Below are 23,890 nucleotides of genomic sequence, written 5' to 3' on the forward strand. Positions count from 1 at the left end.
CTCCTGGGCTCAAGTGATCCGCTCGCCTCAACCTCCCAAATTGTTGGAACTACAGGCCTGAGCCACCGTGCCCAGCCAAGAATAATAGTTATTCAGTGTTTAAACTCAACCCGTAGAAGGTTTGAAATAAAGCGGATGTGACTAAAACTTTAGTAATAGTATAAACTATTTCTAGGTTGGCAGGATTTTTGGCTCCTCTGTATCCTTGGGCTCCTTGTCTGTGGATTCAATCAACTGTGGATTAAAAATATTTGGAAAAAAGTCCCACAAAGTTTCAAAAAGCAAAACTTGAATTTGCCATGCACAGAGTACTGCCTTGAATTTATGTGAATGAAGTGATGTGCCTGGTGTTAGGCATTATATTAGATGTTGTAAGTAACCTGAAGATAATTTAACATATTTAGGAGGACATGCATAGGATATATGCATACACTACAGGCCATAAGGGACTTGAGCATCCTTCGATTTTGGGGGCAACCTGGAAACAGGCCCTCACAGACACTGAGGGATAACTCTTCATAAATGTAAGATTAGCTTCTTCTAACATGGAGGAAATCTTCCTTCCTCAATCTAATTAATTCTGACCTTCGGAACTTAGATCAGATCTAAGTTCAGATCTTATATTTGTCCTATCCAAATCTGCATTACTGAATTAACACATAGGTGGGAGGAAGTAAATTTAATAATAGGTGATTATATTATTCAGACAACAAGTACAATAGGTGAACTTTAAAAAAGAAAACACGTAACTCTAAGCAGCAATTAAAAGATGTCTTTTAAGTTTATGTTTATATTTAAGATATTGAGTATAATGTGTGCTAAGCTTCTGTGTTCTTAAAACTGTGAACCATTTTAATAATTTCTTTTATTAAAAAGAAACAATTTCTGTTTGTATCCTAACTAAATCAAGTGAACACATAATATTTATGTTAATGGCCTTTAAGCCATAAGAACTAGAAATGATATTTTTATTACTCTAAACATATGCTATGTTGACTACTTTCTGAATTTATACTAAAACATAGTTTTTCAGTATATTAGTTTTTTGACATAATGAATTAGTTATAGGTTGACTATAGGTCACTCCTGAGTTTCTTTTGTTCTTGAACTAAGAAAAGAATGTTTCCTCTAAATCAGCATTTTCTGATTTTTACTATTAACAGGAAAGGCCCCAACCCAGCTTATTTTGAAAGGAGTAATATTATTTGTCGGTGACAATATTTTCCTGGGTTGTCCAGAAAGCACAAAATCTTTTGTAATTAATAATAGTGTTTCTTTTCACTCACCAGTGGGTCCAGTTTAGACAACAAATTATTTGGTGACCGTAATGATTTGCTCTGATTTGTTTTATAAACTTGGACTTCTAAGGTTTCACTATTCTAATTTATTGTATAATTTTCAATTCTGATTGGTGTAAACAAATTTGTTTGAATTATTTCACATATAAGTTTCTCATGAAACAGTTTGAACTCAAGGACACAGAAAAATAGGATTTCATTCTATTAAAATAATAATTCCGTTTACTTGTAGAATATTCTCTGGAATATTATGACCTGGTTATAATGACTACCATATATTGTATCGAATTCATTTTATTCTTCTGGATATCATACATTACAAAATATGTTCTGATTACTTTCAATACTAGTTATTATACTACACAATACATGTAGATACTTATTTTCACTTTCATTTCTGTTGATGATGGTGCCTGACTGCTATGGGTTTTTTTTTTTTTTTTTTTTTTTTTGAGATGGAGTTTCGCTCTTGTCTCACAGGCTGGAGTGCAATGGCATGATCTCAGCTCACTGCAACCTCTGCCTCCTGGGTTCAAGCAATTCTTCTGCCTCAGCCTCCCAAGTAGCTGGGATTATAGGCGCCCACCACCATGCCAGGCTAATATTTTGTACTTTTAGTAGAGACAGGTATTCACCATGTTGGCCAGGCTGGTTTCAAACTCCTGACCTCAGGTGACCCACCCAACTCGGACTTCCAAATTGCTGGGATTACAGACGAGAGCCACCACATCCGGCCGACTGCTATGGTTTTGATTGATGTGCCTGCTAAATGGTGAACTAGTAAAGAACTGTTTCATGGTCAGAAACTGAGCTTTTGAGGAAAAATAAATTAGGATAAATAGATAATTAGATAGTCTTGAAATGAGTTGAAATACCAGAGAATAAGGTTGAGAAGATCAACATGTTCTTATCTTTGTTTAAAAAAAGCAACCATTTATGAGATTAAAATAATTGTTTTGCTATTTAATGTACTTTGTAACTTTTAATGAGATATGTGAAAATTTAATCTAAATTCAACTAGCTTTATTTTCAACACATTTTTGTTATATGTCTGTTATGTGCCATATACTGATAGATATGATGCAACTTCTGCTCTCATTGTGCTTATGGTCAAATATTACAAAGTTTATGGATAAGGGAAGAAATATTATTTATCATTACAAATAAACAAAATACTTAAAATTATGAAATCTGGGCAATCAAATCTGGGCATTCTGCTTTGTAATTTAATATATTTTATACAACTAGAGCAAATTTGATAATATCTTTCTCCCCTTTGCCTTTATTAATTCCTTTATGAGAAAATGGATTCTCATAGTAAGAATACTTTAAAAAAATGTATGGGCCATAAAAATACTTGGTTTTAAAATTTTATAAATGAGATTAAATAAACCTAGAAAATGTGAGTCATCTTTAAATTATTTAACTACATAAACACTTTCTGGTACAGTTTTCCATAATAAATATTGGTTTAATATGTATAATTTATAGTTTATGAAATTAAATATAAAACAAGTTATTTATAGATTTTGCTAGAAACTTTTTCTAGAAATGTAAGGGCCACACATTTTTTTCTATACTCTGTGCATAAATAGTGAAGTGTAGGGATTGTTTTATGTAGATAACTTTAAAAAGTTAATCTTCACAAATTTCATCTTTGGTATATAAAATGTACATTTCCCATGCAAAACTAATTTATAAGAATATCAAAATTATCATTCTCAGAAAACCAAACAACAGAATGGCTGTGACTACTAGCAGTGAAAAAGTTTGACACTACATGTGTTTGGTATGAGGGTACAACTAGTTTCTAACTGTATTCTTTCTTTTACAATAATGTGTAATTCTAAACTCCAAAAGTCAACCTCTTTTTCTTAGAGTATTTTTCTTTCTTTTTCACAGCACGGAAAAGGATATGCTAGTCAATTCTACAGGACTTACCTGAAGCAGCATGATTTGCACAAAGTCGACCAACAAAAGCATCAACTTTTCAACTTCATTATCTTGGCCATCCAGTTAGTCATGTGTAACTGAGTATTAGATTTCGGATGGAGTCATCATGGCCAATTATAGGACCTAATTGCTCTCAGCAGGCCTGAGAAATGAGTTGAAATGTGCAGAACTGTAGAAACTTTAGAGGCAACAGATTTTGCCTCCCCGATCAGTGTGTGCCTGTTTACAGCACTATCTATCTTTCTCTCTCCAAATGTCACTGAGCCCTTTAGATGTTTATATTCACCACGAGAAGCCAGTCATAAAGATAAAGGAAATTTGTGCATTATAAATGCAATATCACTGTTTTAAACTTGACTGTTTTATATTATTTTTGTGTGATCAAGTGTTCCGCAAGCTATTCCAACTTTACAAGAGAAATTGTGATTATGTTCTTTTCACCTGTGGGTTATAAAAAATGTTGTATTCTGAAGACCCACAAAATATCAAAGACATTCTGTAGTTTATACACCGTGTTGCAAAGTGTTTACTGTACTATTTCAAAGCTTCTAAATAAATATAAAATATATATATTATATTATATAATTTTCCTAAAATGTGGTACAACTCAGTTGGTTTTTAAATGGATGCATACAGTCCACATCATACAATAAAATAAAAGGTAATTCAGGGTCCCAAAGACAAACTTACTAAGAAAAAATCATTAATAGTTTTCTCCCAATTTCCATATCTTACTCAACCGTGTTTTTCCTTGTTTAAAAGAAAATGATGCTCTAAGCTACAAAATTTTGTCAAAAACTCATATTGAATTTTCAATGCCAAAGATGTAGCTATTGATGTTATCAGACAGAGCACTGACTATGTACTATCAAACTATCTAACAATCTGCATAAGTCTGATTCTATTTCTATGACTTTGAATTTAGAATCACTTAAAGCTTTTATAAAGAATCGATAAATTCACCTGTATTTGTTGTTAGAAAAAAACTGGGTGTCTGTACATTTTGTGGTGTAAAATATGTAATTGAAGATTACTATTTTAAGAAGTCATCAGTCATATCACTCACACAGAATTTTATTTTACATAGTTTTGTGACTTAATTACACATGAATATAAAATCTATAATTCTATATGAATATATAGAGATATAGAAACATCTGAACTGGTAAAGAATAACTATAAAATATGAAAGCTCTAAATTTAAAATAAATTTAGAGATAGAATCATGGTACATTATTGTTTCAGTATTCCATGTGAAAATTTTATAGCTTAAATGTAGTCAGTGTTTGATTAATGAAAAAATTCTTCATGAGTCAGCCTTCAAAAGTTAAGCTTGCCTTTTACTTTTATGTCAACAATATTAATTATTAAATTTAGTAAGACGCACTTTCCTTTCTTTTATATATTTTTTCTACTGTTGTGTATGCCTTGTTAGAACACATTCGAGAGAGGAAAAAAATCAGAGAATATAAGATAATCTTTCAAGCAAAAAACAGAATTGTCACAGCTCCCCTCGCCCTCTAAACTATGATATCAAAACATCATATCAAAGCTTCAACATTATATCAAAATGTTTGCCCAGTTCAAATTAGAAACCTGTTTTGAAATACTTTCCTTAATTTTTAACTGATCTTATATTCAATGACAGTTTGAGCTGCACTGTGTTATTAAAGAATAGACTAAAACTTAACATTTGACAAATGTTCTTCATCAAATTTTATGTAACTTAAGTGGAAATTTTTCCCTAGATTTAACTTTAAAATACATATATATACACACACACACACACACACACACACACACACTTAGGTCCTGATATGTACATTTAGAGTGATATATTGGTATCACTCATTTGACTGTTATCAAATTAGATATTAATATATCATATTCCAATCAGTTCATATATCAAAATAATGTATGTAATGTTCCAGCCTTTTGAAGTCTCTTTAAACATATATGAAGCTAACAGATCATATGTAATACAAAAAGCACATAAATTCACTAAGTGCAGCAGTAACATTTTCTTAAACTTTGGCATTACTACATTAATATTTTGAATGATAGACTATTTTAGTAAGGAAATGTTTATACATAATTTAACTGGAAAAAAGTCTGTTTGTTCCAACTCTTTTTTTTAGCAAGAAAATGATTTTCTTGTTGAGTCACTCTGCTTTAATTAAAATGTTTCACGCATCATTTTGCAATCATGGGTGAATATCCACATCCATCTTCCTTACTGCATGCATTGAAAATAAGATTATACTCACTTCATGTATAGTAATTATATTGTCATTTACCTCAAAGACATTTTCTTTAATTATTTAACCTTTTATATCATTGTATATAATCTCCTTTGAACCAACTTTTTTATTATATATTTGTGTATTAGTTATTTTCATATATCCTAGGAACTAGTTATACTAACTTACATTTTAGTTATCATCAATCTACAAAACCAAAACCAGAACTTCTTCCTAATTTGCGGGACAAATAGAATTGTTTAAGGATAAAATGCTACATTATTAGGTCATTAATCAACTTATCTGTTGCATCCAAAGTAAATTAGAAGTTACAACAGAGTAAGGATATGATTCTTGTAAGTTGGTTAAAATGTTTTCTTCCAATGAGGGGGACTATAAAATGGAAAGTGCAACCAACAAATAATGAAGGTTTCTAATTAAGCATTTACTAGATTAATATATCAAGGAATTTTAGGATAGGTTTTCTCTTTAATCTGGTCATTCTAATATCCAATCTTACATAATTTTATATACATCAAAGAATAATATCCATCGTATTAGACAGTATTTCGTCAATAAATTATTTCAGAAAAAAAAATCATGTCATTTACTCCTTGTTAACATGGTTAGTTTTAGAGCAGTCAAAGTCAAAAAAAATTTCCTGTGGAAACAGTGTCTTAATGTTTCAAAGGTATGTCAAAAGACAATTTTTAGAAAATATTTCATCCACATGTAGAATTCTAATTTTTAACGTGTGAACATAGTTTGGTGAAATCATCTTAAATCAAATTTAAATATCACATCAGAATTACTTCACAGATATAATAGCGTCAATGATATATGTATCATCTTTTCTTGGCAAATATTAAGGAAATATGTGTATTTTATTTTTTAAAGATATTAAATGCACTGCCTTTATCAAACATTGCAAATTAAGAACTATAGTAGAATATTTAAATATTTTAATTTCTCATTGTTTTATTTGTTAATTGGATTGTAATTTGCCATCAGATTCTCTGTATTATAGAAGCTATCTTGCTTCTTCAATAAGAGGAGGAAAAAGAATCTCACAATTCCCAATATAATCTTTAACAACTGTACGTTAATTGTACCATTTTACCTTCTAAACATTATTTACTGGAGCTCAGTTAGTCTTTAAAACAATTACTCAGGCAGAGTGTGGCAAAAGTTCAGCAAGATCAAGAAAAGTATTTAAGTTATTGACTGATCATAGCACTGTTATTTGTCATTGCATGTGTTTTTCCCCCTCATGTTTCTATGTGTGCTATTGATACCCAAGGAACTCAAAAATACTTAAAATATTGGTATACTTGATGATTTTTCTGAAAATCTTATATTTTTCATATTACAAATTCTTGAGTTCTTTATCTTTTTCAAGTCTAATTTTGTAGTGGTAAAGGCTTTGCACTTAACATCCTTTTGTGTTCCTTTTTAACAAGGAAAAACAGAAAATAATGGAATTCCATATTTTTTACACCATGGAGTAGTAAAATTATTTTATATATTGTTAGTACTTCAACAAACATCCCTCTGCTAAGTCAGACAAAATCCTTATACAGTAATTTGTGAAACTGTTCAGTAGAGTATTCTTTTCTTCAAATCTTGGCATAGGTTTTAGATTATAGCATTCTGTATGAATGCAGGTAGATGGGTGCCGCCAGAGTATTGCAGGCAATAATACGACTAAAATTCTAATACTTTTAGTGTGCATGCGTGTATTTCTAATCACTGTTATTTTTTAAGTATTTGTAAAATTAGAAAAATTGCTTTTATTTCTTGAAAAGTTGTCACATGCTTAGTTTGAAGTTTTACTCTCCAGATGTTTTTGAGTTGCATAAAAATCTTGCATTCATCATTCAAAAAATACTAAATTTCACATGAGACTCAAAAATTTCTGAATGATGGAACTCAGACTTCCAATACATTCATACATGCTAGAGCTGAAAGTAAGCAGGGAATTTCAGCTCTAAACACATTTTTGAGACAGTTATCTGTGAGTGAAAACAGGGTATTATAACAAAAGATGAGTTTCAATCTTAACTACAGTGTTTGTTACTGTGAATGCTATAATAATACATAAGTAAAATGAGTGTAAATGTAATAAATTATTTTATACTGCTGTATACATATGAAATAAATAAAACTAGGATACATATTATGCCATTTTTCCATGCATGGATCTTCCACTGACGCCTGTGGGAGCTTTGAATAAAAATCAGTGGCAAATATGGCTCTAAGTTTAAAAACATCTAATGCTGATTTAGTAATTTTAGTCTTAATATAACAGGTCTAAGGGGACATCTGTTCAAAACTGAGTCTCATTTGAAGCAGCATATGCTAGGTTTTAAAGGATTTCATTATATTTATAGCTTTGAAAGTAGACATTTAGTTGTATATGATTCTCATGATACCCAAAATGAATCATAGAAGTATATATTTTTCCACCTAATGCTGTATTTACTTTTTAACTTTTTTTTGATGTGTAGTAATACCAAGGGTCCACAAAGATTAACATAGAGGTTGTACATAAGATATGAGTACCTTCAAGCAATAAAAGAAAGGGATTTTATCTATAACTTTAGAAACACAGCATTTCATATTTAAAGTTGATAGAAATGTAAGGAAAAATAAAATCCGTATGGGTATCATCTTCCAAGAAGAAAATATGAATTAAGGGATAGATACTTTTTACAATATGAAAATAATCAGAATTTACCCTATAGAAATTTAAGTCTGAATTAACTACAAGGTAATAGAAGAAACGTTCTTCTTAATCTCATGTGTGTTCTCTGTAACTGATTTTCTTGAGTGCAAACTGCACGTATCTGGACCAAGGTTCATTTTATAAGGCAACAAGTTAGCCAGGGGGAGGGTGTGGCTAGGTGTTTCTCTTGCTTTGAACATCTAATAAACCAATTCAGTGGAAAAGAACCGAATAAAATACAGAAGAATGATAGTTCTCAATGAAAGGTTAACAGCTATGATTACAAGTTGCCTTGCTTCCCCCTGTGTATCACTACCTTTTATCCCTTATTTTCACTCTTTCTGGGAAATATAGACTCTTTAAGATTATGAATTTTCAGTGGTAAAATTAAATTGTATTAGATTACAGACATATACTGAGGTCTAACAGTGCGAGAAAGTAAGAATGAATGGTACTATCTGCCTTTAGGAAAATTACAGTTTCCAGGGAAATTGGAAGAAAATATTAAATCATCAAATAATTAAGTGATCAAAATTTGTGGTTGAGACTTATCAGTGGCCCTAGATTATAACATAAAAAATAAGTAAATAAAATAGAAAAATAGATTAGAAAAGTATCAAAATACATCATTTATGTAAAAGCAAATGGTTCTTTGTGAAACTTTTTTCAGATATATATACATATATAAAATAGGTCACAATGTAAAATATATTTCTTACTGTGAATCACTCCCCAAAATATTTGAAAAGCACTGCACCATATGATCTGTTTTTCAAATTTAAACTTATTTAATGCTGTGGAAACAGGGAAGATATTTCTGAAGTTACCTCACATCTGAATCTTAATCTTTTACCCTTTGTAAAATATGGATAAGTACACTTAGTTGTAGAATTGCTGTGAGGATTAGGTGAACTGATGAATCTGAAATGCATAGCACAATTCTAACACAGACTTGTAACTGCCTAACAGGTTCACCTTGCCCACTGCTTAGACACAGCCAATTTATCAAGACAGGGGAATTGCAATAGAGAAAGCTATTCATGCAGAGCCTACTGTTAGGGAGACCAGAGTTTTATTATTACTCAAATCAGTTTTTCAGAGTATTTGGGGAATCAGAGTTTTTAAGGATGATTTGGTGGGTGGGGGGACCAGTGAATCAGGAGTACTGATTGGAGGGTTCAGAGATGAAATCATAGGAAATAGAAGCTGTTAAGCTGTCATGTTGCACTGTTAGTTCCTGGCTGGGGGCCACAAGACTGGATGCACCGGTTTATCAATCTGGATGGTGCCAGCTATTTGATTAAGTGAAGGGTCTCCAAAATATCTCAAGCAGTGATCTTAGGTATTACAATAGTGAGGTTATCCCCAGAAGCAATTCAGAAAAGGTCAGAATCTTGTAGCCTCCAGCTGCATGATTCCTAAACCATAATCTCTAATCCTGTGGCTAATTTGTTAGTCCTACAAAGGCAGTCTAGTCCCCAGACAGGAAAGTGGTTTGTTTTGGGAAAGGGCTGTTATCATCTTTGTTTCAAAGTTAAACTATAAACCAAGTTCCTCCCAAAGTTAGCTTGGCCTATGCCCAGGAGTGAACAAGGACAGATTGGAAGTTAAAAGCAAGATGGAGTTGGCTAGTTCGGATCTCTTTAACTGCAATAATTTTCTCAGTTAAAATTTTGCAATGGCAGTTTCACAATGCAAGTAGTATATGTTATTAAACTTTTTTCAACATTTAACCACTGATCTTGGTTACCAAAAGTATAGAATATAGTCTACAAACAAAAGAAATTCTTTTCTCAAAATTTCAACCTGCCACAGAGCTGTGTCTAAGCAGTGCAAATTTCAAAACCTCAAGATGAAAGTAGACTTGCCATTGGTATCCACTCATCAGCTCAGTTCATATTTGCCTCTCCATTTATCAGTGGTATGGAGTACAGGAAATAAAACAAATCTGGCTGGGTTCGCTTTCTTCCTCCACTTCCTTTTATAGCTCTCAAATAGTCCTCTATCTCTACTATTGAAAAATACATGTGTATGTTTGCACTAGGACATATTTATCTGACCCCAATGGCCTTTCTGAATATGTATTTCCATACAAATAAATGCTTGTTGGAAATACTGCATATTTGACAGAATCATTTTGTTTGCATATGATTTTCATAAAAATGAATTTGGGCAGTATTCGGTATCTGCTCAATAGAATTGAATTTTAAAAGTTGCTCTAATAGTAGACTTCTTGAAGTTGTCATTACTTAGCTTGACAGGCTCTGTTCCCTAGAGGTGTCCTCCTCTTTACTTATTTTTTTCTTTTGAATCAATTAAAAGTTTTATCTCCTTGTCATGAAAACTAGGTTTTAAATTTCCCAGTTAAGGTAGTTCAAAATAATCTGTAACTTAACTGACATTTCTAAGTATTCATATTGTGAAGGGAATTTATTGATCCATAATGAAAATATTGTGTAGATGAAGATATTTTTGTTTTGGTTTGCTTATTTTTCATAGAAAACATCTGATGATCATTGGGCAACTCCTCAACCAATCTGTCTGAAAGATAGGAACATTTAGATAACATTGCAATCACCTAATCTGAAACACAATCCCCATCTCCATTTTCTCCCTATCATTGTGAATAACTCTTCTTTTGATCATGAAAAAAGGAAGAAAAGAAGTGTTGGCATGGTGAATTGTGTAAGCCCACAACTCTAAATGTTATTTCAAAAATGTGAGAATTCTCTTATTCTCAGTTGTGTTTCCTAATTAATAATAGAGTGAATAGCCAATTTCAAACTTTTCTGGCAAAGTATTTCTCTCAAAATTGTGTGTGTGTGTGTGTGTGTGTGTGTGTGTGTGTGTGATTGGGAAAGGTAATAACAGGCTCATATGAAAGAATACATGAAAATAAAAGATAATATTATAGGTAAAACATCTGCATTTTGATCCCCTTTAATATTAGTCTTTAAAGTATCAAAATGCCTGGTTGGAAAGCAATAGTATTTGATCATCAACAAGCTGGCATGGGCTTTTCAACCCGTGCAATCAATGATTTATTTTAACATTGCGTGAAAACCACCCTTATTTATGACAGGGCTACAAAGACTACAAAAAAACAACACAATGGTTGCAACAGAATATACCAAACAAAATTGAATTAAAGGCAGAGAGAATGAGAGATGTGTGTGAGAGTTATATTTTAACATACATAAGTTAAAACAAGGAAAAAAGTAATGAAAACAAATGATAAGTAATTCTAGTTTTAACCTGACAAAGAATGAAATAAAGTGGTACAATAGTCCTTAAGCAACATTAAGAGGTATATTAAATTTGATTTTAAAATGTGGTAATATCAAACCACCTCATTGAATGCCTCCATAGATGCTTACGTTGCTTCCATTGCCTCTTTGACAATGATGTATGGCCTCACATGACAGTGTTTGCAAATATTACTCCGTTTAAAGGTGTCTTCCTAATTCTAAGATGGTGTACTTATAACTTTAGAAACCAGAATAGGGGAAAATTGGTGACACCACTAACATCATGCAAAAATATGTAATACTGGCATAGCTTTTTATCAAGCTATATGATAAGGCTACAACACTGTGGTTATTGGTTATAGATGTTGCTGCTGAGGTGGGAAGCAAGCTTCTAGCTGCAAATCAGTTATTTGGAGTGAAAAGGTATATTAGGTGATTTTTTTTAGTTTAAGATGTATTTCTGTGTGTGTGAGAAAGCATTTTTTAACACTCTATAGAAGTGTCTATCCCAGTCCTAGATATAACAATAAAAGATAAAAATAAATGCTACGAATAACTAAGAGTTGCCTAATTTAGATGTAGCAAGATAACTTGCCTGGCTGGCGGCTCACACTTGTAATTAATCCCAGCACTTTAGGAGGATGAGGTGGACGGATCGCTTGAGCTCAGGAGTTGGAGACCAGCCTGGGTAACATGGAGAGACCCTGTCCCTACAAAAAAAATTTTTAAAAAATTTAGCCGGGAGTAGTGGCCCGCACCTGTAGTCCCAGATACTTGAAAGGCTGAAGTGGGAGGATCACTTGAGCTGGAGAGGTGGCGGTTGCAGTGAGCTGAGATTGTGTCACTGCACTCCAGCCTGGGTGACAGAGTGAAACCCTGTCTCAAAATAATAATAATAATAATAATAATAATAATAATAATAATTAATTAAATAGCAAGATAACTTGCAAAAATGGAAAAGAGAAAAAGAGACATTGGGGTAGGAAGAGACTACTGTGAATCTCTAGGTAAGGAACAAATGAACACAATTGACTTAGAATGGACTGGTAAAAATGGAGGGGAGAGGATAGAATTGAGAGGCATTTCGGGGGGACAAATAGGATGTACTTCCTCACTACCATGTTGGTCAGTCAGCTGATGAAGGTGAGGGAGAAATGATGATGACGGATGTTTTCTTCTTTGCCGGAGAGGACCATGCTGCCATTAAACAAGTTAATGTAAAGGAAAAAAACTCTGCAAAAAATATCTTATTTGTAGAAAGGCTTTCTAATTTTCTCTATTATTTAATTTTACTATGCTTGCTGCCCATGTGGGGCCTGAACTGCATTATATTTAAACAACTCCACAGTTGTTTTTAATTATTATTATTATTATTATTATTACTATTATTATTATTATTATTATTATTTTCAAGACGGAGTCTTGCTATGTCACCCAGGTTGGAGTGCAGTGGCCTGATCTCGGCTCACTGCAAGTTCCGCCTCCCGAGTTCACGCCATTCTGCTGCCTCAGCCTCCCGAGCTGCTGGGACTACAGGTGCACGCCGCCACGCCCAGCTAATTTTTTTGTATTTTTATTAGAGACGGGGTTTCACCGTGTTAGCCAGGATGGTCTCGATCTCCTGACCTCGTGATCCACCCACCTCAGCCTCCCAAAGTGCTGGGATTACAGGCGTGAGCCACCGCGCCCGGCCTTTTATTTTTATTCTAATATAAAATGGTACTATTCATGCTGTATTCTGCTTTATTCTCTACTAATGGTTACTAATATTATTTAAATTATATCTCTTGTCAAAACTTTCTCATTAATAATGTTTAGAAGTAATTTTATAAATATATCATATGTAAATTATAATTAGTTTTAAAGTTTTTTTGTATATATAACTTTGGCTAGTATATGTACCAAAATTAGGCTTGACCCATGTAAAAAGGACACAGGTTAACTCAAACCTTCTGGCATTTTTTTTCTTTTTTTTTGTAACAAACACCCATAACAATAAGTAATAAAGATAAAGAAAATGTTAATAAAATATTTAAAAGATGTAACTATTGTAAAAGACATTTTAAAATCTTTCCTATGCATCTGAGTTCAACTAATGTTTTCAACAAATATTTTTGAAGAAGTCTTAACACCTTCAAGTTGTTAAGTCTATATTCATCAACTATCTTCTAACCTTTACTAGCAATTAATCTTATTTTCTATTTTTTAAGCGGGTCCCACAGGATAATAGAATGTTAATGCAGAACAGGGCCTTAAAAATATTTTGGTCTGAATCCCACCTATGAAGAAAATGACACAAATATAAGTCAACTCATGGAAGAACCTAACAATAAACTTAACAACCCACCCTAATCCTTTCTCTTGACTCTGAGTTCTCCACCTGTGCCAGGCTATGTTTCCATTCTCTGTGTCTTATTTTAAAATTGAAATCTTGGGAGTAGTGATATTTGAAAATATACAAATAAATTATAGCATCTAGAACCTCATTTTATATTTTAAAATTTCCAGTTCTTGCTATGTTCACCCATAACGATGATTCTCTCATATAAGGCACTGTTAAATTTGGCCTAAAAAACTAAAGACAGTTCTTATTGTTCTTTTATGGATTTATATTAAAATGAAATGTAGGCATTTTTATTCCTCTTAATGACATGTTATATTGGTAGTGAATAAGCACAATTACAGCCAAATATGAGTACGTCTCCCAGAGAAATCACATTGAACAAACTGCTGCATCACCAAGAGTAAATCTGACTAACCTGATTTTACAAAACCATCATCATTTCACCTAATAATTCCACCCCAGTTAGCTCAACTTACTTTAACTAATTTAGTGAAACATTGAAAGAAAAATAGGAAGGCATGTAAAGGATAGTTTAATTACCTACTATTCACCCCATCGAAGGAGGTATTCTCACCGTAGGATTATGGGGATGGAGACACACACACCTAACAGTGTATAGATGGATGAGAATGACAGCAATATTTGTTAGTCAAATATTCTCACAGCCTGGGGGAAGGCCCTGCACAACAAAAAAGGCCACATTGGGGTTGCACTCAGGGACAGAGGAAACAACCTCCCACTAGCGGATGTAATTGAATTGTTTGAGTAAATCTGTGGGGCTGGGACTGGAATTGAAACCTCAATACTTAGGGATAAAAAGGAATTGTGCTAGGCGGGGTGGCTCACACCTGTAATCCCAGCACTTTGGGAGGCCAAGGTGGGCAGATCAACTGAGGTCGGAAGTTTGAGACCCGCCTGACCAACACAGAGAAACCCCGTCTCTACTAAAAATACAAAATTAGCCGGGCATGGTGGCTCATGCCTGTAATCCCAGCTACTCTGGAGGCTGAGGCAAGAGAATCGCTTGAACCTGGGAGGCGGAGGTTGCAGTGAGCTGAGATCATGCCATTGCACTCCAGCCTGGGCAACAAGAGTGAAACTCCATCTCAAAAAAAAAAAAAAAAAAAAAGGAATTGTGCTTGGGGATCCCTAATAAAGACAATTCTTTGGCTAGGGGAATCTTATCTTTGGGAGCAGAGTGAAGAAGGCTTAGGGCATTTGAGGCTCTCTTGGTTATACAAGATATCAAGGCAGCACATAATATTGGGCCTTAATTTTAGACCCCCATTAGCTCCTTGAAGCCTTGGCATCAGTTTATATCTTTGTGATAAGTAGATTGCTATGCAGTGGAAGAAACTCCCTAGGATGTGAAGTAGGCACTTGACCAGGGTAAAGAGGGCTATGCATGAAGTAATCTTCAAAAACATAAACTTTAGTGGTATCCTTTTTATGGCCAATAAAGAAAAGTGAGGGACCTGTGTGGCATTATTGCAGAGAATACAGATGTGGATTTAAACTAATCTATACCTATGGCAATACCAGGGGTTCTATTTGCCAGTTAGTAGCTTAAATAGGAATTCTTTGAGGATGGCATTATGCCTCTTAATTAAACTAGCGGCTCGAGGTCTTGAGGGTACATGGAAGTTGCACTGAGTACCTTACTCAAGAGCCCAACATTGTCTATTTTAAGAAGTAAAGTAAATGCCTTAGTCACTATCAATAATGTTTACAACTTTAAAGGAATAAGAGGTGTTCTGGTGAGGCCTTGTATTGTGGCCCTAGTACATATAGTGATATCTGTTGCCTTGATTTTTATATTGTGTCTCTGTGGGGCAAGAGATTCTCAGGAATCTTTACCTCCAAGGGGTCAATTCTTAGACAACATATTGAGAGTTCATGAAAATGTACAGAAGAAGCCATTTCCTGTCCTGGACTTTTGGTGCAAAACTGACTGTCTTATGTTTGGCCAGTTATGCTGACCTTTTTATCCTGTTGTTTATCAGGGACATCCTGACTAATGGATGAAAAGCAGTAAAGGTCCATTGAGCTCCATCATGTATAATGGTGGTCATTGATCCATAAAGTATATCAACATGTTCCCTCAGTTGTTCCCAGGTTGTCAAGAGCTCCACAAGTGAGTTGATCTCTTCTAGCACTGAGGCATCAGAGAAGGGGCTGAGGAGAGGTGAGGCCACTTGGTCTTTCAGGGAGAGTATATTAGAGGATCAAGTTCGGTGCCAGTCTGTTGAAGGAAATCCTAGGTAGCTGTGCAGAGCTTATGGAATGCTGATTTCATGACCCAAGACATAATGGCCAGCTTGGTATGGAGGATCAGAAGCTCAATGTCTATGAGAGTTCTGTATTTCCAGAAAAGCCCAGTATGTGGCCAAAAATTGCCACTGTAAAGATGTATGGTGTAGGGCCAAGGAGAAGTCCACTGTCAGCTTATGGCCATGGTATAGAGATAGTATAGACATTACAGGAGCAATGAGAAGTGGTCCAATTTTATATCTTTATTTCAATTTTGTTCTCTCCCCTTGTATTCAAGATTCCTTCCTTCTTTTTCTTTCTTTTTTGTTTTTCCCCTCTATACTCTGCTCATAGTTATAAACTTTTTGCTTTAGAAAGCCTCAAATAATTATCATAAAGGTTAGGGGCCTTTTCCAAGGAAATGGTTGCATCATAGGATTTAAGAGCCCCAGACTTAAGTTGGGTTTTAAATAACACCTATGCTATGCCATAGGGGTGTCATGGGTATTTTACCCTATCAAGCTGAGAATCATGATCTTTGTTGCAACAGAGAAACAGACAACATTTTGGCACAATGGAAGTGTTCTGGGGTCATGACCCAGAGGTCATTCTCAAAACCATTGTCTACTATAGGCATGCAGCCTTCCTCTTTTTTTAATCTCTCTGTTCTCTCTGTACAAATTTCCTCAGAATATTTTGAATTTCTTAACATGTAAAGTTTAATAGTTACAGCTTTCAGTCCGTTTCCTGATCACTCTTGGTGCAGACCTTCTGTGTGGTTGAGGGTAAAAATGTTGGGAGCCTAGCAGTCCACCTGTGGACAGCTATCTCATTCCCCAGGGAATGCCACTCAAATCTCCTCAGTGCTGGAGTCTGCATCTAGTAAGGTCATTTTGACTGTGAGGCAGGCATGGCAGTGAAGTACTTTTGCATGCTGGTAAACAGCAACACTAAGAAAAGCCTAAGAATTTTGGGTAGGGTTTTTCATTGGGAGAGCAGTTGCATTACCTCTCCACTGTTTTAAGACGGGCTGGCAAGAAATGCTCCTAAACTCTCTCTCATTATTTTTCCATCAGTGCCTTGACCATGGGCTGCCATAGATGTTTACCTTTATACCCCTGGGAGTCAGGAGGATGCATGGGATGCAATGAGGGAAACAGTTACACAGGAAATGGGCAAGGTGGCTACCCTTGCCTGAACGGCGGCTCTTGTTAGGCAACCTGGGAGCCATGCTTAATTCTTTCTAGGGTATCGGTCCCCTCCCTTTCTACAAACCTGACAACGTGTCATCCCATAGTCCTCCTGGGGGTGTACAGTCACAGTTAACATCCACATGGCTGTCCCAAGCAGCTAGTGAAGGTCACTACGTTAGATGCTGTAAGCAGAGAGCTCTAGCTTACCCTTGATAGGTAGGACTCAAGCACCAGCCTACCTTTAAGGTGCTGTGTTGTCACTACTTTTATGGGCAGGAGACTCAGGGACACTTGCCAAAAACAGACCAAACCCAACCATCAGTCATGCCCATGTATAGTCAATTAACAAGAATTCTTCTTTTGGAGAAAAACAAGAGCTTCCTAGACAGGGAAGAGAGGAAACAAAGTGGTGCTGGAACCAATTAGTGGTTTGTTCCAATTTGGCCTTCCCAGTATCATGAAACCACTTAGTTATCCAAAAGCAGTGAATTAAAGTTGACCAGGTGTCCTTGGTCATGGTTGTACCATCCTTTAAGAGGTTATTTTACTTGCCTCCTATTCACTCTATTGGTGAGGGAGGGATTCCTGCCCTGGGATTATTGGGATGGAGAATCTGCAACTGGACACTGGACAAATGGCATCTACAGCAATTTATTAGTCACATCTTCTCACAGCCTGGGAGAGGAGGACACTGCATTCTGCACAGGACCACTTGGAGTGTGTACTTGGAAACAAAGGGAACAACCAGGGACTGTGGGAGAAAAGCTTTGTGTTTCAAGAAGTGCACCCTGGTTCCAAGGGGATGATGTGATTAGCTTATTTGAACAATTCCCTGTGTTAGCAGGGAACTGAAACCCACTATCAGGAAACCCAGGATAAGCAGGGCCTGTGCATGGTCTCCTTGATAAGGAGGATGGTTTGGTTAGGAGACCTCATCTTCTGGAGCAGAGTGGGAAGGGAACTTGAAGTTAGGCTTTTTGAGGCCTTCCTAGTGACGCCAACACATAACAATGGGCCTTAATTTTAGGCCTCAGACACTAAGGGTGAACAGTATCTAGCATGAAAAAGACCAAAACTCTGTGAACACTTGAAGAATTAAGGACTTGGTCAGGCTTGACTCATGTCAAATTTTTCTGTTGTGAAGCTTTGATTCTTTGAAAGAGTTTCCATATCGTCTTCTAAGGGAAGTGGACCATTTTTGTAAATAAACTTTTCATAAACACAGGATCCCCCAGCTCCTTTGTAAACTTGTGAGAGAATCTCTTTGTGATTAAGGTCTGAAATTTGGTATTGTGGAACTTGACGGTCCATTTTCATCCATGTTGCAGTCACTTTGTGAGCTCTTTCAATCTTCAAATCCAAGCCTTTCAACTTTTGGAAATTTTCTCAAATTATTACTCTCATCATTTCTTCCCTTATTTTTCTTCATCTTTTTGGCTCCTTCGTTATTTGGATGCTGAACCTCCTCTACTTGTCTGTCAATTTTCATTACTTTTTCTTCTCTATATTTTAAAAATATACTTTCTAGGGTATTTTCTTATGTATCTATTCCAAACCTCTACTGAGTTTTTATTTTATTACTACTATTATTATTGTTTCTTGAATTCTAAGAGTTCTTCTTGTTTTCAGAATGTTCCTCTTTTAAAGTATTTTTAACTCTTTGCATATGCAATACTTAATTTTATCCAATATATTGATGACAGTTTATTTTTCATTTTATTTTTTCCGAATAGTGTCTCCTAGAATTATGTTAGAGACTTTTCTTAATGTCTTATGATACTTGGCTGTCAGCTCATAATTAAGAATGTAGGTACTCTAAAACGCTGAAGATAAATTCTGTCCCTGTGTGGAGGGCTTTTTGAGTATGTTTGTCTGTAGGGTAATCTGGGTAACATTTAATTGGGGAACTCCTGGTCAATATGTTTAGACATATTTTTCTTCCTGGTCTTGTTAGATAACCAAGAGAAATATTTTCAGGTCTTCTGCCTGGAGGTGTAAGCCTGGGTACTTGAATTCTGAAAACTAATTGGGAAAAAAAAATCTAGACGACCCAAGATCCAAACTTCTTTGTATGACGATTGCACATTAAACTGTGCCTGCTATTTCCTAATGTAGGAGCTCTCTGTTTCAACCTCCTTAGAGAATAATAAATCTCGTGTCTCTTAACCGGAGGGAATAGTTGATCACCTATATGTGCACAGTTGATGAGGACATCTGGGAGGTCTAACTGCTTCTTAATAACATTTTTGGTCCTTTTTATTAGGCTTATTTTTACCCCTACTTCAGAACTAATTTGTGCTGTCAATTACTAAGCCTTGGGAATTTTTTGTGGGATAAACCAGGTTTCTTCTTTACACTCTTAGCTTCCAGCTAAGGTTTTAAAACTTTTGCAGTTACTATGTCAATTATAACTTTTTATCTACTTCCAAACATTCAGAATGTTGTCATAGTTATTTCCTCAATTGTTTGTCTTTTATTTGTCATTGTAGCTTTTTCATTAATTTTTTTTCACATTCATAAAGTTTTAGGAGGAAGAAAGGTTAGTGCATTAATTGACCTCTCCCCTCTCTGTAAATGGGAGCTTGAAAATAAACTATGGACATAAAAAGAAAAGTCTTATAAGCATAATGCAGAATGTCATGAGGAAATTTGATCTTACATTATTGAGAGTTTGAATGTGGGATTCTCTTCAGTAGATTTTTTATTGCTGTTGTTAGGGCTATATAGAAAAGCACTGACATGTTTGAAATTGAATCACATTTTGGAATTCATAATTAAAATTTAAAATATTAATTGGTTTATTTCATTACATGTCAATAAACAAAATAATAAAATATGTAATTCATTTTTCCATATGCCACTATTTTAATAACTTATTTTTACTTTTTTTGTAATATCATTATCTTGAAATGATATCTAAAGTAATTTTAAATCAATAATGTTAAAACCAAAGGGGTAATATGCATTGTTAGATTTGTTATAGATTAGAATAGCGATTATTTATTCAATTGTTTCTAAGGTTATTATATTATATTATAATATAAAACTCAATATCCCTTTTTGGTCATTGCATTGGTTTATTTACCATATTACTCTATTTTGAATAGTGGCCTGAAATTAGTGTCCAAATAGTATCAGGCAACTAGCAAGCTTCAATACTTGAGGTCAATTTAATTACACTGTGCATGACAGAAACTAGGCCATTTGGGCATTGCCTTTGCCACCAGCAATTGACACCTGAGTGTTAATGAGCTGATAATTAAGAGCTGGCACATACAGACACATTTTACTGTTTGGGACTAGGATAACCATATGCTGCATAACTTCTGTGCTAAGTACTTTGTTAGCTCCAGAATTTACACAATTATATTTGTGAGGTTTTTTTTTCAAATCTCAATTTTTCATGTTTAAAAAAAGATAAAAATTGTTACTCAAAAAATGTAAGTAACTGTACTCATCAATTACAAGTTATGAAACTTTCTAAAACTAGCAAGATTATATTTGGAGAACAATATATTTGGGAAAAAAGACTGCAGAATTTGTGTAGTAGAATTACTTTTAGTTTAAAACCACACTGGCAGAAATTGCATTTTGAAATGTCTTTTGTAATATAAAAAAGTACCTAAAGCAATTTAACATGACTGTGTTTATGTAGGGTTGACAGCCTCTGTGATGGCCCATAATGATTTTCACATCCTAACATTGACAGCCTTGAGTAATACCTCTCCCCTGAATGTAGGTGGGATTAGTAAACCACCTCTAAAAAAATCAAAGTGATAAAAGTGAAGTGATTTCACACTTGACGTTAGGGTATCAAAATGCTATTGTTTCCATTTTGAGGAACTTCTTATATACTGTCTCATTATTTTCTGGATTCCTTGCAGAGCTATTGTGGAGGCAGCTATGTGGAGAGACACATGTGGCACAAGATCAAGGGCTGTCAACAACCACATGAGTGAGCTTGGAAACAGACTCCCAAGTTGAGCATTCAGATGAGACCACAGCCCCTGCTGACAGTTTGACTGCAACCTTTGAGAGTCCTTAGCCAGAGGCACCCAGTTAAGCTGCACTAAAATTTTTGAACCACACAGATTGTGAGATAATAAATATTTGTGGTTTTATGTTGTGAGGTTTTGGGGTATATTGCCATGTGGCAATAAATAGTTAATACATTATGTAGGTGAGAATCCTATTGTCTGATACAGTAATATGAAGTATTGATTTTTCTGGTGTGATGTGGCCATTTTCAAAACCAATATGTATAATGTACACACCCTGTTGCTTTACCTTCGTCTTCAATTTTCAGTTCTTGCTTACTCCTCTTTCCCTGACCTTGCACACAAAAAATCATCCCCACTATTTTTGGGATTGATCTACTGGCTTAAAAAAAATAAAGCTGTACTTACCAGATGAAACATGTACTAACTTTAGTGAATTTTAGTTGTGGGAATTACTTCTAATTTTCTTCTTTGAAACAGTTTGCTTTTCCATAGAATCCTCTGTAGGACGTATAGCCTTTTATATGCAGATTGGTATAATTATGCTTTGAAATAGCTCTGAATTCCCTGTAGCTTAAACTGAGAACATGAAAGGCCAAATGTTATGTCTAACTGAAGGATATAAAAGTGCACATACATCAATCCAAAATGAGATATAGAAATGAACGGCTCTTCACACAGTGATGTCAGTTTTTGACAGATTATTGAAGGGTCTTTATAACTGCAGAGATTGCCATGGGTAGCATGAAAACTCTGCCTGGGGATAGCCTTATCAGCTTGTATTTTGTATTTCTTCAGTACTGAAAGGTGAGTAGATGTTAAGCGAAACAAGAGAAATACTCTGTGACAAAAGCATTAACTCTCGTTCCAAAAATGACATCTGGTTTCAAATGGCAAAACACAGTGCGATCTAGTGATGGAATCATCTACCCAATCTGTCACTCTAGAGATGGCAGCCTAGATGAGGTGCTTATATTTTAAGAAGTCGATAGAAAACCAACATGGCAATCTTCACCTACATAGTGATCCCAGTGACAAACAAAGGCCTATTCTGCACAGGAGGGGCGATTATTCAGCCAGTGACAGACACATCAAGAGTATTTAAAGCACCCACATTCTTTCTTACCAACAGCAGGAAGATTTAAAAAAATGGGTTTTTGTATGTTCACAACTTGAAATCAATACTATGCTTATTTAAAAACAGATTATAAAGAAACTCAACTTTATATTGGAAGAGTACATAGTGTTAACTTTTAATATCCCATAATTATCATACCTATTTTGAGTTAAGTAAAAATATATCTTAGAATTGTTCTCTTGCATCAGCTATTCATAGAGAATCCATTTTTTTTCTTACAGTGTATATCCTCTCCTGAAATTATATCCAAACAAAGGAATTGAATATCCACATTATCTGGGTTTGTCAGTAAAAAGAAATATTTTTTAAATTTAAGACAAAAAACCCTTAATTCTGGTGTTTCTAGAATGTGCAGATATTAAGTAGGTACAATTGAAATCAGTATAAGAGGAGGGCAAAAATTTTTTGAACAAAGCATACACTTTGAAACTAATGCTGATTCAAAGGGAATTGTGTATGTGAGGAATACAATACTTAGTTATTCATTCTAAGCCAGGAAATTCTACCATGTTTTGCACTTTGCAAACTTTACCACTTATAATCTGTAAAGCATGTATTGGAAAGAAATGATGAAAACTCAAGTAATAGTCAAGGAAAACATAATTGTTAATTAGCTCTGACACTACAATTTTTCAAAAAATCCAATCTACTAAAATGCTTTTTTCCTGAAATAATTAACATAAATTTTTTAAAAATTCAAAAGTTTCAAACCTATGCCTTAAGGTATACATTAGGTTAGTGCCACTTAATTAATTGATACTTTTGGAAATACACAGACAATATATAATGGATAACATGATGACTCTAAAATTATTACAAACTGAACTCTCACTTTACTACTTAAAATCATGTGACCTTGGTGAAGTTTTGCTAGTTAACTCAGAGACAAAAATTAGTTCTTATATCTGAATTAGGGTCATGAATTAAATTTTAATCAGAATGATGTTAGACAAAATAATTTCCATTTTATAGGGAGAATCTTTTATGATCTGGGGGCATACTCATTGCATGTATTCATGTGGAGTTCCCTGTTCAATGGAAGTTCTGGATAGAAATAAAAAAGCAAAATAAACATTTAAAATCTTATAATACTCTTAATGACTTATTAAAATTGTTCCAGTCATTGATGATGGGCAGTAGTAGTTTCTAGATATTATCAGCAGGCATGACAAGTCATCTCTTCTTAAACAAGATCTTTAGAGCTCATTTTATTCCAATGAATAAAGGGAATTAAAGAGCATCTCTACCATGAATTTTTATACAAGTCCATACCAAGATATGCACCAAAAGTAATAAAAAATGTTTTGTAAGAAAATGCAACTCCAAATTGTGGCACAAACCATGACAAGCATATAAGATTCATTTAAAAATAAAAACTAAGATAGTTCTAAAGTTACAGTGAAAGCTAATACTTATTGAGTGCTCCTTCGGTGACAAGTACTATGCTGGTCATCACTACACTTACATGAGAAAGGTACTATCTTTAATCTTTTAAAAATGATA

The 23,890-nt window shown here is 34.2% G+C and overlaps 1 protein-coding gene across 2 annotated transcripts in view; it reads left to right on the forward strand.

Moving 5' to 3' along the window:
* The window catches only part of PCDH10 (protocadherin 10), a 59,313-nt gene extending 37,647 nt beyond the window's left edge, over positions 1 to 21,666 (forward strand). The window contains exon 5 of one of the 2 annotated variants that reach the window (XM_011532150.2): positions 21,136 to 21,666. In XM_011532150.2, coding sequence (XP_011530452.1) covers positions 21,136 to 21,206 — 71 coding nt within the window. In that variant the 3' untranslated portion in view covers positions 21,207 to 21,666. Of the gene's footprint in view, positions 1 to 3,200; positions 7,761 to 21,135 lie in introns of those variants that run through there. The other variant, NM_032961.3, reaches the window with a different exon arrangement.
* Positions 21,667 to 23,890: the final 2,224 nt, after the last annotated feature.

The sequence above is a fragment of the Homo sapiens genome, chromosome 4, assembly GCF_000001405.40.
Source record: "Homo sapiens chromosome 4, GRCh38.p14 Primary Assembly".
Lineage (NCBI taxonomy): Eukaryota > Metazoa > Chordata > Mammalia > Primates > Hominidae > Homo > Homo sapiens.